General features: G+C 39.5%; 1 long non-coding RNA gene across 2 annotated transcripts in view; it reads left to right on the plus strand.

Moving 5' to 3' along the window:
• Positions 1–16413, plus strand: part of LOC102724080 (uncharacterized) — a 117440-nt gene that overhangs the window by 23968 nt on the left and 77059 nt on the right. The window contains exon 4 of one of the 2 annotated variants that reach the window (XR_001746546.1): positions 14442–15221. The exons of the other annotated variant lie outside the window; for it this stretch is intronic. This is a non-coding gene — a long non-coding RNA (uncharacterized LOC102724080). Of the gene's footprint in view, positions 1–14441; positions 15222–16413 lie in introns of those variants that run through there. 2 annotated transcript variants of the gene reach the window in all.

Consider the following 16413-nt stretch of genomic DNA (forward strand, 5'->3'; position numbering starts at 1 on the left):
TCTGAAAAATTTCAGCCATGATCTCTCTTAAATTTTTTTTCTTCTAAAATTTTTTAAAATGACAAATAAAAATTGCATATATTTATGGTATACAATGTGATGTTTCAATATATGTATACATTGTGCAATTAAGCTAGTTAACATATTCATTGCTTCATGATTTTTGTGGCAAGAACATTTAAGATCTACTCTCTTAGCAATTTTTAAGTATACAATAGATTATTATAAATGTGAAAGGAACATAAATCTTCGGGCCCCCAAATCACTAAGCTAAAGGGAAAAGTCAAGCTGGGAACTGCTTAGGGCCAACCTGCCTGCCATTCTATTCAAAGTCATCCCTCTGCTCGCTGAGATAGAAGCAATATCTGATTGCCTCCTTTGGAAAGGCTAATCAGAAACTCAAAAGAATGCAACTGTTCGTCTCTCACCTATCTGTGACTTGGAAGCCCCCTCCCACTGCTTTGAGTCTTCCTGCCTTTGCTTCAAGTTGTCCTGCCTTTCCAGACCGAACTAATGTCCTTCTTATATACATACTGATTGATGTCTCACGTCTCCCTAAAATGTATAAAATGAAGCTGTGCCCCAACCACCTTGGGCACATGTTGTCAGGACTTCCTGAGGCTGTGTCACAGGTGCATCTTCAACGCTGGCAAAATAGACTTTCTAAACTAACTGAGACCTGTCTCAGGTTTTCTGGGTTCGCGCTAACTACAGCCATCATACAGTCATTTTCCGTTTAAGTAACGTCTCCTTTATTCTCTCTCAGAATTGCTTCTGCAAGTACTTTAAACCAAATTCTCCACTGAAGCTGTTTTGGACTATCAAAGCTCTGTAAATTGGTACCACACACTGTAGGAGGGCCAGGTGGCTCTTTGCTCTTAGAGGAGATTTTCCTTTCTCTCCCTTCCCTTCGGCATCAAGGATAGGATAGGCCAGTTCCTCTTTTATCTTTCCAGGGCGGGTGTTGCTGGGGCCTCAGCATCAAGCAGGGATCTTCCATCACTTTTCTACCTAGGCAGGACCTGGGCGCCACCACCTGTCTCCCTCATTGCACGGCTGCCGGCCACTTGCAGACATGAAAGTGGCAACTCAATGACTAGGGATGTACAGAGAACTTGAGTGTAGTCTACTCCCTTCCCCCAAGGGTTGCTAGCAAGTTAAGTGACATATGTACAGAAATTCTGGGTGGCCTTGGTTGATTGAAAGAGGCAAAGGAGAAGGCAGTGATTTCAAGGCTCTGATTAACAGACAATTAAACCGAAGTGATATAGTTTGGATATTTGTCCCCCCAAGTCTTATGTTGAAATATAATTCCCCAGTGTTGGAAGTGGGGCCTAGTGGGAGGTGTTTGGGTTATGGGGCAGATCCTTCATGAATGGCTTGGTACTGTCCTGCTGATAGTGAGTGAGTTCTTGTGAGATCTGGTTGTTTAAAAGTATGTGGCGGCCAGGTGCGGTGGCTCACGCCTATAATCCCAACACTTTAGGAGGCCGATGTGGGCAGATCACGAGGTCAGGAGATCAAGACCATCCTGGCTAACACAGTAAAACCCCATCTCTACTAAAAATACAAAAAAATTAGTTGGGCATGGTGGCGGGCGCCTGTAGTCCCAGCTACTCAGGAGGCTGAGGCAGGAGAATGGCATGAACCCGGGAGGTGGAGCTTGCAGTGAGCCGAGATCATGCCACTGCACTCCAGCCTGGGTGACAGAACGAAACTCCGCCTCAAAAAAAAAAAAAAAGTATGTGGCACTCCCTGTTGCAACTGTCCTTGCTCCCTTGCTTGCCATGTGACACACCTGCTCCCTGTTTACCTTCCCAGAAGCCAAGCAGATGCCGGCCCATGCTTCCAGGACAGCCTGCAGAACCCAGCCAATTAAACCTCTTTTGTTTACAAATTACCAAGTCTTAAGTATTTCTTCATGGCAGGGCAAAAATGGCCTAATACACCAATGATAAGCCTTTTCCAATCAAATGCTGGATCTTTGGGGGACATAGATTCCTGAATGTAGCTCAGAGTTACTTGACACTTCCTTTGATGAGAAAACCATAGACTTTTAGAATTGACCACTAGTTGAAGTGTGGTAGTTCAAACTTGGCATACCATCATCCATACAGCAGAACGGGGCTCTATAAATAAGAGGTTAATTAGAAACTTTTATTTCTATTCTAGGTAAGCTTTCTAAACAAATAGAGTACAGTTTGTGTGTGTGTGTGTCAAGTTGACTTTTCTTTGGATCAGATGTAATCTCAATCCTTTTTTCTTTCTAATTGTTAGAATTGTGTTTATACTGGCTTAAACTGTGCATATTATTTATGGCAGAAATCATTTGTAAGTGCAGTCTTATTCATCAACAATACTTAATAGTTTCTGTAAACATTTCAGGATGTAAATTAAATATCACTTGCCACTTGACTACATTTCTTTTGGTAACTTGTGCCAAATAAGTTTTGACCATATCTAAAGAAACATTTTGTTGTGGTTTGTTCTTTTGGAATATTTTATGTATACTTTGGCAGTTAATGAAAAGAGATACACTCCATGAAGATTTAAGAATTTACATCTTCATATTGTCCTAATATATGACTCAAAAGAGACACATAAGTACAAGGAAGAATTGTAAGTGAATCAATGGTTTTTACTTAGTACAGTAAAACAAATGAAAACGTGGCCTCAATTGCTGTCTGCTATTTGTACTACTTAAATCATGAACTGTGGTGAATTTCCCGTTTTCAGTTACACTTCTCATGTAACAAACTAGTAATTATGAAATCATCATTTTTAACACTATTGGCCACATGCACACTTTGCAATTACATCTGATTCTTTTGAGACTTTGTATATTTAACTTTAGGTAATTCTTTTATTATTCCATCTTGTGGGCGTCAGCTCTATAATCATACTTAGTAAAAGTGAGAAGCAAATATATGTAAACAAATACATGGTGCCCGTTGAACAGAGCGGAGTCCTTAAAAATTTAACCAATCTCTTAACAATATCCTGATCAGAGAACCGCTTAGGCATTGGGCAATATGGCTGAATAAGCAATCTGAGTACTGCATATTATTTTAGATATTAGTATAATTTCTCACATGTGAGCCACATGTTTTAAACATTTATTTTGAAATAAACATATTTTGTCCACTGGAATATAAAGTCCATGAGGGCAGGGACTTTGTCTATCTTGTTCATCACTGAATTTCTATTTTGGGACATAGTAGTTACTCAGTCAAAATTCATTCAACGAACAAACTAATACTTAATTAGGAAGTAATTAATAGCGAAAAATATCTTAGGAAAAACAGAGGGCATCAAATGCCATATTAATTTCAGTCAATATTTACTCACAACTATTGGTTTAATGTATTTTGTGGCTACAGGGTTAGGTGCAGATTTAAAGCAAGGATGTTTTTCTGCCTTATTGTTTCATTTATCCTTAAATAATGACCCTCTTTTTCAATTTGTAATAATAATTATTTTTGTCTTAATGTGTCTTTGTCTAATGTTGCTATGCTGGCTTCTTTCTTTCCTCATCTTGCCCACCTCCTCTCTCCCTTCTTTCTTTTCTTTTCTTCTTCTTCTTCTTCTTTTTTTTTTTGTGTGTGTGTGTGATGGAGTCTCACACTGTCACCCAGGCTGGAGTGCAATGGCGCAATCTCACCTCACTGCAACCTCTGCCTCCCAAGTTCAAGCGATTCTCCTGCCTCCCAAGTAGCTGGGATTACAGGCACCCACTATTAAATCTGGTTAATTTTTTTAGTAGAGACAGGTTTCACCATGTTGGCCAGGCTGGTCTTGAACTTCTGACCTCAAGTGATCCACCCATCTCGGCCTCCCAAAGTGCTGGGATTACAGATGTGAGCCACCGTGCCCAGCCCCTTCTTTCCTTTCCTTTCTGCCCCCTCTTTTTTTTTTCTTAGTCTTCGTCTCGTATGTCCTCTTTCACCTTTTTTCATTCTTTCACTCTTGACCCTCTTGAGCTGCTCTAGGCATGTTTATAGAAAAGAGCATATATTGCTGGGTTTTTTGGGGTCTGTTCCTTAAAATCCTAAGAATCTGTCCTTTGTTAAGGGCATAATCATTTCATTTACTGCCACTTTGATTATTAGTGTATTTGGCTTACTTTGGCCATGTGATTTTGTATTTCTCTCTCTCTCTCTTTTGCTTTCACATTCTGCTTTTCTAACTTTTCTTGGAAAGATGGAATTTTCTTTATTCCCACCCCCTGACTCCAGCCATTGATTTGGAAGTTCTACATTTTATTTCTGTTTTTTAGTAGTCAACCTTAAAGTTTTAACATGGATACATGAGTTACCATGATTTCATGTTAATTATTAGCTCTAGCTTCGTATCAGCAGATATGTCTTAGTTCTCCCTTTCCATTCCAAATGCCACTAGTCATTTTATTATCCTTATAGTCAATGCTTATTTAGTTTTATCAATAACTACTCATCATTGCTTCTTGCATCTTCCCCGGATTCATTTTTCTTCTACCTGAAGCACATATGTCTTTTAGATTTAGTTTGAATCATATGAAATTGTCATTTTTGTGGGTCAAAATGGCCAAATATCAGAAATTTCATATTGTTTAAACTAATATTCATCTCGGGGCAAAATTACGAGTAGTAAACTTTTTCAAGCAGTCTATCTAAAAAGGCTTTTATTTCACCTCATGTGCATATAATTTAGATGGATATATACTCTGATTGTTATATTCCCTCATTGCTTTCAAGATGCTTCCCAGCCTTCAAGAATTATTGTTGTTGATGAGGAGTTTGCTGTCACTCGAATTGCCATTTATTTATAGATAATATGTTTTTACTTTCTCAATCCTTTGTTGTTGAGGTTCTGAAATTTTTCTATAACATATCTAGCTATGGATATTTTTACTTGTTTTTAATGTCAATGAGTTTCTCCTTCATTTCTAGAAGTTCTATTTGGCTTTTCAAATTGGTCTATTCTTTTTCACAGTATCTGAGCTTTTCTTTTTGAATTTTATTCCTTTTTATCTTTTTATTAATTTTAAATAAAATTGTTTGTAGTCTCTTTCACGTTGTGTATAATCCAGATTTGGAGAGTGCTAATTTTCCTGTTTATTGCATCTTCTGAATTTCCCTCAGTGCCTGCCTGCCTTCCTTCCTTCCCTCCCTCCTTCTCTCTTTCCTTCCTTCCTTCCTCTTTCTTTCTCTCTCTCTTTCTTTCTTTCTCTCTCTCTCTCTTTCTTTCTTTCTGCTTTTTCCCTCCCTCCCTCCTTCCTTCCTTCCTTCTTTCTTTCTTTCTTTTTCTTTCTTTCTTTCTTTCCTTCTTTCCTTCTTTCTTTCTTTCTTTCTTTCTTTCTTTCTTTCTTTCTTTCTCTCTCTCTCTGTCTGTCTCTCTCTTTCTTTCTCTTTCTTTCTTTCTTTCTTTCTTTCTTTCTTTCTTTCTTTCTTTCTTTCTTTCTTTCTTTCTTTCTTTCTTTCTTTCTTTCTTTCTTTCTTTCTTTCCTTCCTTCTTTCTTTCTTTCTTTCTTTCCTGGATCTCACTCTGTCTGAAAAACAACAACAACACGCTGGAGTGCAGTGGTACAGTCTTGGCTCATTGCAGCCTCAACCTCCCGGGCTCAAAAGATTCTCCCACCTGAGCCCCCAGAGTAGTTGGGACTACAGGAACACACCACCTTGCCCCTCCTTGATTTCTTATTGTGTTTATAAATGATGTTCATTTATGGTAGCTCCTGCTCCCTGCTTTGGGAGTTTCCTAAATCTGTTTTTAAAGTATCCGTCAAGAACTGTTTTAGGCCAGTTGTGGTGGTTCATGCCTGTAATCCCAGTACTTTGAGAGGCCGAGGCAGGTGGATCATCTGAGGTCAGGAGTTTGAGACCAGCCTGGCCAATATGCCAAAACCCTGTCTCTACTAAAAATATGAAAATTAGCTGAGCATGGTGGTAGGCACCTGTAATTCTAGCTACTTGGAAGGCTGAGGCAGGAGAATCGCTTGAACCTGGGAGGCAGAGGTTGCAGTAAGCAGACATCACACCATTGCATTGCAGCCTGGGCAACAAGAGCGAAACTCCATCTCAAAAAAAATAAATACATAAAATAAAAAGTAAACCTATCCATATGGGATTCATTAAACTAGTATTAAAACCAAATACACATGTGGTAGAAAAATTTGGGTATTTCGCCGTCTCAAAAAAAGAGTTGTTTTGTATTTCCTAAGATGCATACAGTGCCTTCAGAGCAATCTTTCTATCAGCTACATGGTTGTGGTGCCTTAACCATGTGAATATTACATATTTAAACCTTATACACATGTGAATGGGTACCTGGAGTTTTGACTTCCCAGAGGTGATGTATTGTCAACCCAAGCCCCTGCAGAGGTGGCAGGCTTTCTATCTGCTTTCACAGTCAGGTGGGAGGAGCTATTCTAGGCTCCATGCTTTACATGGGATATACAATTACAACTCTTCCCCCTTCTACAGATATTGTGTCTCCTTTCTCCACGGAAGCATTAGGATCCAGTGCTGAGCTTCTAGGGCCTACGATTGAATTTGAGACTGCTGGTCGGTCACCTCTGGTCTGGCCTTGATTTCTGTTTATTTGGCAAACAGGAATTTTCTGATTTTTTTTTTTTTTTGGCATGGCTACGTGTTAATTTTTTGTGTTTTTTGCTACTTTTTACTCATTACTTCTATACATTCATAGTGAGAGGGAAGTTCCTTCACAACATGGGAAGTAATGTTCTTGAAAATCCAATTAGTCTCAGAGGTTTTTATATTTGGTTCTGCCCTATTCCTTGGTCTTTCTTTGTGTTTCTTTGTTATCTAAATTATTTAGTCTTTGCCATTGTTGCTTGCCATTGAAAAACTCTAAGATTCTGAGTATGATATGTTTTAAATATGCTTCATTGTCTTAAAAAGTTAGCATTTAGTACATTATATATGTACATATATATCCATTCTATCTATATCTATTATATCTCTATGTCTATATCTATATCATCTATACCTATATCTATATGAGACAGTACGAGTGACCTCTCTCTTTTTTATCCAGATGCCTTTTGCCTGGTATTCCCCTTAAATGCGTATCTTCTTACAAAAGTCAAATTTGTTTAAAATTATCCCCCTGAAGGAATTTTTTTTTTGAGAAAGTGGGCATAAACCTTGAAATGACAACTGTTTGTTTTTATTCTTATTAATTCTGAAAGTTGAAACTAAGGATTTTAAGGATATCAGTACCCAAAGGCTAAACTACCACACACACACACACACACACCCCGCTCCCCTCCCCAACCAAATACCACTCACCTTGCAGGACCATTAGGTCTTAAGGATGTTATTGTTTTGGGTAATTAACTGTTATTTACTTATATAACATTTTTAAATGGAGATTGCTATTTTTTTTCTTTTTTGAGACAAGGTCTGACTCTGTTGTTGCCTAGGCTGGAGTGCAATGGTGTGATCATGGCTCTCTGCAACCTTGACTTCCCAGGCTCAAGCCATCCTCCCATCTCAGCCTCCCAAGTAACTTGGGACCACGGGTGCATGCCACTACGAATCGCTAAGTTATTATTTTATTTTCTTTTTGTGGGGACAGGGTTTCTCTGCGTTTCCCAGGCTGGTCTTGAACTCCTGGCCTCAAGAGATCCTCCAACCTCAGCTTCCGAAAGTGCTTGAATTATAGGCGTGAACTACCGTGCCCAACTGAGATTCCTAATTTTTAAAAGAAATGATAAAATATGGTCAGTTAATTCTGTTTGTACTAAGGATATTTTATTTTTGTTATTTAAAAATGGACAGAAACTCTGTTTGCATACTGATGGGATTTTTCTGTTAATTAGAAAAAAACAGCCAGGATAACTTTTACAGGATGATAGCACATTTACTGTACATACATACATACACACAGTCCATAGAGTTGTGCCATGCCATCGATGTTATTTTCATTTACTTTTTGTTTTTTCTGACAACAGTTGGACATGCCCTGACAACTCAACTTCCATTATAAATATTTAAAAACTAAGCAGGAGAGAGTCATCCCTTAACCACAGCCATATAATGTGATGAAGGATACACACAGCTGCAGCCACAGCATGTCATTACTTAATTTGTTTTTGACAGCTCCCATTTGCAGAGGAAAGGAAAGTATGAGCTACACATGGGCAAGGATTTTACATACATCCACATTTGTTTGTTTGTTGTGAATATTGACACATTTTCTTGGGGGAATGGCAGGGAATCCAGGCCAACATCATTTCTTTCTTAGTATAGCAACAGCTCAAGATGTTTGCTGTCCATGGAAAGCTGAAGGAAAAATTCAAGTCAGTGTCTGTACCAAAGGGAAGAAGTATTAGATTGGTAAGCACTTTCCAGCCATGATGAGAAGATGGCAGAGCGAGTTAGGAATGTAGGTTTTCTTCTACGACAGAAGAGGTCATTTTAATGAGTAAATGGAGCACAGGGGAGCCCTCACATTTGTACCAAGGAGAATCCCAAAGCCCTGTTTCACAACAGCTATGTGTGGGTTGTGTGATAGCACTTCCTATGGTTTATGTTACCTAACTGTGCTCCTCAGGGTGGTCCTCATCATGCGTTTTTTAGGTAACTAATTGTTGGCCTATATATGACAGAGGTTGATGGGCTTGGGCTATTCCCTGTATCCCCTGAGGCATGACCTGAGTTGTCTGACACCTTATGGGGACTGGGCTTGAGACGGAATTGGGGCAAGAGAAAACCCAGTCATCAGGGATGTGGAATTGTGATTTGGGCTCCTTTCAGGGCTATGAGAAGTATACTTCTACACCAGCTGGGACTTGGAGTGATGATCCTGAACGATGCATCCAGATAATTCTGTGAAGGGATGATGGAAACATCACAAAGCAGGGAACACTAAGAAAAATGGGACAATTTGAGTTAGCTCAGAATTATCATCAATAGTCAAAACTAGGCTGCTGGATACAGCAATTGGGTCTGATTAAGAGTACCTATGTCGCCTTAGGAAGAAGGGATAGGTGCAGTTGGTGCCTTACATAACAGAATAGGGAATTATAATAGAGAGTGTATCAATGATTTTATTAGTATCGTGTGTGTATGAAGGAGAAGGATGGAAACTAGGAAGATGCCTGAACTGGTTTACATCCTATCATTCACCTGGTAGATATCTGACCATGTGGTATTAAACATCTGCCTCTGCCTTCTCTGACCCTGATTGCCTTGGTTCTTTCTGGTAGTAGGATTATTGTATAATGAGTAAAACCACATGCAAATATTGTATACAGATCTAGAGCCATATGTAATCTAGTTAGCTCCATCTTGAAGAAAGTTCTGTGGAGGTGTTTGCGAGGATTTGCTCCTTAAAGAAGGAGGTCATGAAGAGAAGGAATTTGACTTATCAAAAAGGGGTCAACCTGAGGCTGTAGGCCCCAAACAGCTCCTGTTATTGCTCTCACGGCCTTTGATCAAGTCATGTAGTTATATATTCACATTGTTTTGTGTGTTCTACTCAACATAAAAAAATTAGGGCCTGAGAAGATGTAGAAATTCCCTCTCGGGTGTCCAGAGTCTTTGGCCCATGGTTCTGGTCATCCAGGCAGTCTGTGGCTAAGTTTACTTTCCCTGCCCTCACCAGCACCCCACAGCCTCAGGCCTTCTACAGTAGGTGGCAGTACATAGTGTCAGAATTATGCTTGTACTCTGCCTAAAGATAATGAGGGTGTTCAAAATAGAGGGTGCTGGCTGGGCATGGTGGCTCACGCCTGCAATCCCAGCACTTTGGGAGGCTGAGGCGGGTGGATCACCTGAGGTCAGGAGTTCGAGACGAGCCTGGCCAACATGGTGAAGCCCATCTCTACTAAAAATACAAAAGATTAGCCGGGCGTGGTGACAGGCACCTGTAATCCCAGCTACTTGGGAGACTGAGGCAGGAGAACCGTTTGAACCCAGGAGGTGGAGGTTGCAGTGAGCTGAAATTGCACCACTGCACTCCAGCCTGGGAGACAGAGCGAGACTCTGTCTAAAAAATAAAATAAAATAATTTAAAAAAAAGGTGTTGAAGTTCATGGGCCTCTTTATCTCCACTTATTCCTATGTCGTCTTACTCCAGTGTTCAAGATCAGCCTTCCAAATAATGTACTTTCAAACTCTGGTACTTAAGGTAGTACTCACCTTTTCCTACAGTCTTATCAAAGTGTCATTTGACACTTTCACTAGGGCACATTTATATATACTTACTTGAACTTCAGAGGGTGATTTTACTTGATGAATCTCAGCAGCTTACTACATTCCTGGAAGGATTGGTCTGACGGCACTGGCAAGTTATAGATGCCCTTAATTAAGTCAAAGCCCTATGGTCCTGTGTTGTTTTTTCAAGTCCTCTCTTTCATATCAGAAACATTTAAACTATGATGGCTTACCACGTAGCTCTTCGTTTTTGTTTGTTTGTTTGTTTGTTTGTTTTCTGTTTTCTTTTTTGAGACAGAGTCTCTCTCTGTCACCTAGGCTAGAGTGCAGTGGCGACATCTCGGCTCACTGCAACCTCTGCCTCCTGGATTCAAGTGATTCTCCTGCCTCAGCCTCCTGAGTAGTGGAGATTACAGGCACCCACTACCACGCCCGGCTAATTTTTGTATTTTCAGTAGAGACGGGGTTTCTCCATGTTGGCCAGGCTGGTCTCGAACTCCTGATCTCAGGTGATCCACCTGCCTCGGCCTCCCAAAGTGCTGGGGTTACAGGCGTGAGCCACTGCACCTGTCCCAGCTCTTTGTTTTTACACAGCATTACTTAATGCCAAATTATTCCTGAATATGTATAGATGATTTTTTTGATAAATTTATCAAAAATATTCCTGAGAAAATAATTCAAAGTAGAAAAAAATCACTAAATTGCCAGCAGAAAAAAAAAGGTAAAACAATAAAACAATTTAGGTCACTAGAACTAAATGATTGGTAATTAAAACTTGAGAAGAACTTCTTAGCACCATCTTTCCCTTCCCCCCCCATTTTCCTTTTTTACTTTTATTTATTCTTTTTTGTATTGTTGTTATTCACAAGCAGGATTCATGATCATTATAACTAATATAACAATATAAAAATAAGTAAGGAACAAGTCAATGATATCCCCCAACTCTGTATGCAGTAAATGAATGTTAATTCTCTAAAATAAATGTTTCCACTTCTCTCCTTCTTTCTGTGAGGGGATGATAGAAGCATCACAAAGCAGGGAACACTAATACACACACACATATGCACACACACGTACTCCATATACATCTACGTGGGAGTTATTTTTGGTTGTTTTTGTAAAACTAAAATTAATATATACATATTCTCCTGAAAATTTCTTTTCTTTTTATTATTATTGTTATTATTTTTATTATTATTTTGTAGAGATAGGGTCTCACTATGTTGCCGAGGCTGGTTTTGAACTCCTGGTCTCAAGCAATCCTCCCACCTTGGCTTCCCAAAGTGCTGGATTGATACGCATGAGCCACCATGCCCAGACTGCAGAGTTCTTTTCTTACTTTATACAATGTAGATTTCCTCCTGGGATGATAGTTGTCCACCCAAAGTCGTTAAAAAAAATAAAGCAGTGGGTTAGCAACATGATGGAATGGGAGGCTCCTGACTTTCCATCCTCCTACAGACACACTGAGTAAACACCTACACTTCAATAGAAAGCCAGAATCCAGTTGAAAGACTCCTACACACCAGATGACTGAGAAAACATCCACATCAAAATTGATAGGAAAAGTAAAGATACACTTGTGCACTAACACCATCCTGAGCACAACTCTTAAAAGGTCTCCAGGTAGCAATATATATATGAAAATATAAGGCTCACTGGTGAAAGTAAGTATACAGTCAAACTCAGAACACTCTTATACTGTAATGGTAGTGTGAAAATCAGTTATAGCTCTAGTAGGAAGGTTAAAAAAACTATCAAAATCAACTATAGCTATAATAATTTGTCAAAAGATACAGGCTATCAAAGATAGAAAATACATCATCAAAAACAAATGGGGAAGGGAGAAAAGTGTAGAGTCTGTGTAAGTGATCAAAGTTAAGTAATTATCAGCTTAAATACATCAGCCTGTTATTAGTATAAGAGGTTTTATGCAAGCCTGGTGGTAACCACAAAGCAAAAGCCCTTAGCAGACACATAAAAGATGAAACCAAAGGATTCGAAGGATACCACTACAGAAAATCATCAAATCACAAAGGAAGACAGCAAGAAAGGAAGAGGGGAACAAGGATATACAAATTAGCCAGAAAACCATCAACAAAATGTATGCATAATGTATGCATAATTGCTTTGAATATAAATAGATTAAATTCTCAATAAAAAGACATCGACTGACTGAATAGACTAAGAAAAATAAAGACCCAACTATATGCTGCCTATAAGAGACTCACTTCACCTCTAATGACACACAGACTGAAAGTAAAGGTATGGAAAGAAATTTCACACAAATGGAAGCCAAAAGAAAGCAGTGGTAGCCATACTTATATTAGACAAAATAGACTTTAAGTAAAAAAGGGTAAAAAGAGACAAAGATTGTCATTATATAATGATAGAGGCATCAATTCATCAGTGATTGATAACAATTTGAAATATGTATACACACACATCCAAAATCAGCACACCTAAATATATAATGCAAATATTAATAAATCTGAAGAGATAGATTGCAACATGATAATAATAGAAAACTTCAGCATTCCACTTTCAACATTGGACAGACTAACTGGACAGAAAAGCAATAAGAAAACATTGGACTTGAACTATATTTTAGATCAAATGGACCTAACACATATTTATAGAACATTCCATCCAACAGCAACAGAATGCACATTCATCTCAATTGCACATGGAACATCATCCACAATGGATCCTATGTTAGGCCACAAAACAAGTCTTGACAAATTTGTGAAGATTGAAATCATATTGCGTATCTATTCTGACTACAGTGTCATGAGACTAAAAATAAATAACGGGAGGAATCTTGGAAAATTCACAAATACATGGAAATTAAATAACATAAATCTTTGCTATGTTGGGGTCTTTGGCCCTGAATAACCAATGGGTCAAAGAAGAAGTCAAAAGGGAAACCAAAAAATATCTTGAGACAAACAAAAATGGAAACACAGCACACTGGGATATAGTAAAAGCAGTCCTGAGATGAAAATTTACTTGCATACAATAAAAGACCTACTTTTAACTGAGAGATGAAGTGACACTCAATACTTCCTATGCCCACTCATGAAACTGACTTGTCATGCTTGAGAGGTGGGCTGAAAAGAATTTCCAAATGGATACAATGAGATTTAGTTGAAACACTGGTTTTCATTTTCAAACTAATTCCTGTTATAGACTGAATATTTTTGCCCCCAAAACAAAATCATATGTTGAACCCCTAAACTCCAGTGTGGCCATCTTTGGAGCTAGGGCCTTTGGGAGGTAGTCAGGGTTAGTTGAAGCCATGAGAGTGAGATTCTAGTATGATGGGATTAGTGCCCTTAAAGAGTCACCAGTGCTGTTTGTCCTGTCTCTCTGTCTCTCTCTCATTCGAATGCATGCACTGGGGAAATGTCATGAGCATGCAGAGAGATGGAAGCCATCTGCAAGCCAGCAACAGACCATGCTAGCACCTTATTTGTGGACTTCTAGCTTCTAGAATGGTGAAAAAATAAATTTTTGTGCCCTGTCTATGGAAGCCGAGCAAATTAAGACATTGCCTTATCCAAAGACACATTTCAGGAGTGTGTTCTGATTTATGATCATGTTGAAGAAGAAGTGGGTGTCTCAGTTTGTTCGTGTTGCTATAATAAAACACTGGAGAAAGGGTAATTTTAAAGAACAGAAATTTATTTCTCACCATTCTGAATGCTGGAAGCCCAAGATCAAGGTGCAGCAGGTTTGGTGTTTGGTGAAGGCCTGCCTTCAGCTTCCAAGATGGTGCCTTGTTGCTGCATCCTTTGGAAGGGACAAATGTTGAGTCCTCAAATGGCAGAAGGTAGAAGGGCAAAAAAAGGCCTAAGCTAGTTCCCTCTAGCCCTTTTAAAAGGCACAAATCTGTTCATGAGGATGGAGCCACTATGACTTCCTCACTTCTCCAAAGGCTCCATCTCTCAATACCACTGTAATGGGGATTAAGTTTCAACATGAATTTTGGAGGAGACACATTCAAACCATAGCAGTGTGTGAATATTATTTTGGAAGAGTTTGGAATATACTATCTTAAAAAAAAGATGTAACTATGATGTAGCTTTTTAATCTTGATAGATAAAGCCTCAGAACGGTCGCTCTTCAGGACCCACTGTAAATATGTGTCAGTGGTATCTTAGGAACACAAACGCTTTATTGGCTATTTTTTTTCTTATTTGGCTGTGGTGTGCTTCCCTTCACCCATTTCTCTCTTGTTCTTTCTTTGCTAACTCATAATCTACATATTTTTACTTTCAGGGGGAGTTTTATACCTGGTATACTATTTGTAGCCTTCGTAGAGGGTTCTCCATTCTAGTCACACCGATTTCCTCTCTGCTGCAGACATTGGACACTGGCCTAGTGTTCCAGAAGCTCTGAGTTCAGAGTCCTCATGTACTAATGCCAGCAACAGTCAGTTTCACAGTGCCTCTGGCCAGCTGCACTCTTATGCAACTCAACAATTTCTCACCTTTTCTCCTTTTAAAAACAATATAAGCAACAAAACCACCCAGCTCCCACTGCTGCATAACCCAGAAGTATTGGAAAGATCACTTCATACAATTCTTGAGGCAATCCTGCAGGATCAAGCAATTAGGTCCTTGGAGTGGTGGCCAGCTCATCAAAGCCTCTTTGTACTGGTGCTTCCCCTGATCCTGTTTTGTTCCCTTGTCCCTCTTTCCTGCTCCTAGCTAGGATCACACTCCCCAATAAAGTTTTTGAACAATGACCTGTGTTTAGGCTACATCTTTCTGGGGAACTTGCACCAAAACTCCATTACATACCCAGCTTACCTTTGTCCTTTATTAAAATGCGTAATCTGCACACAAAATAGATTTTTATGATAAAATATGTTACAATTTTTATTTGTTTACTTCCTCTTTCTTGGACTCAGTTTCTTTCCCTTTAAAAATCTGCTACCTAGCTCTCAGATTCTATGTCCTTCATTCAAATATTTGAGTTTTTACTATGGGACATGCACATAGTCTGCTAGAAGTTGGTAAACTATAGTTGTCTTAGTCCATTCACATTGCTACAACATACCATAGATTGGGTGGCTTATAAACAACAGAAGTTTATTTCTCAAGTTCTGGAGGCTGGGAAATCCAAGATCAGGATGGCAGCAGATTCAGTGTCCGGTCGGGGCTTGTTCCTGGTTCAGAGAGGGCTGCTTCTTTCTGTGTCCTCACATGGTAGAAGGGGCAAGGCAGCTCCCTGGGGTCTCTTTTTAAAAAAGCCATTTTGACACACGTGGATGAAACCTCTTTTATAAGGGCACTGATCTCCTTTATGAGGGCTCCATCCTCATGACCTTATCACCTCCCAAAGGCCCCACCTCCTAATACGATCACCTTGGTGGTTAGGATTTCAACAGATGAATTTGGGGAAAGATACAAACATTCAGACCATAACAATGATGCTAAGGCTTCATATGGCCCCATGTCTTGCTTTGTTTGACTCTTGTTTGGCTTCCATGGCATTTTGAAAAAGACTGTAACGATCAGACATTATGCTTGGTCATGAGACAAATAGTTTGAGCACCCGTGGAGGTGCAACCAAGGATAATGGTTGAGCCTGGGGCTTTTCAAACACAGGTTCTATTCTCCCAGGTGCACAAGGCTAGGGTTTAGACTGTATATTTTCATATGGTGCTACCGTCTCAGCAGTACATTCTACTTGATGATGACAAACCGATCTTACATAATCTTTGAAAAGAACAAAGCTACCTTATAGAGCAAAATGCTTGTCTTTTAATTTTTAAAGTATATAATATTTACAAATGCTTTCCCAGGGCCTGTCTGTTTCCAGTCATGCCTCCAGAATCTTCAAGGGTATGAAGCTACTCACTTCTATCACTGGGAGTCCCTTGGAAAAGTCTGAAGAGCCCTATGCTAGGGTGCTCCTTGGCCTCACTAGCCTTGCCCTTTTTTAGTAAGTGAACCTGAGCTCCTGTGATTTTGTCTCTTCACTCTGACTTGGAGCGTTCCTGATCTTGGCTTGACGGCCTGGTTCTCATGTCTTCTGTTCCAGACTTTGCTTTCTCTTTCTTTTCAAGACAGAGTCTCGCTCTGTCATCCAGGCTGGAGTGCAGTGGTGCCATCTCAGCTCACTGCAACCTCCTCCTCCCAGGCTCATGTGATCCTCCCACATCAGCCTCTCCAGTAGCTGGGTTTACAGGCACCCACCACCCTACCACCATGCCTGGATAATTTTTTAATTTTTATTTTTGTGT

This window comes from Homo sapiens, chromosome 9 (assembly GCF_000001405.40).
Source record: "Homo sapiens chromosome 9, GRCh38.p14 Primary Assembly".
Lineage (NCBI taxonomy): Eukaryota > Metazoa > Chordata > Mammalia > Primates > Hominidae > Homo > Homo sapiens.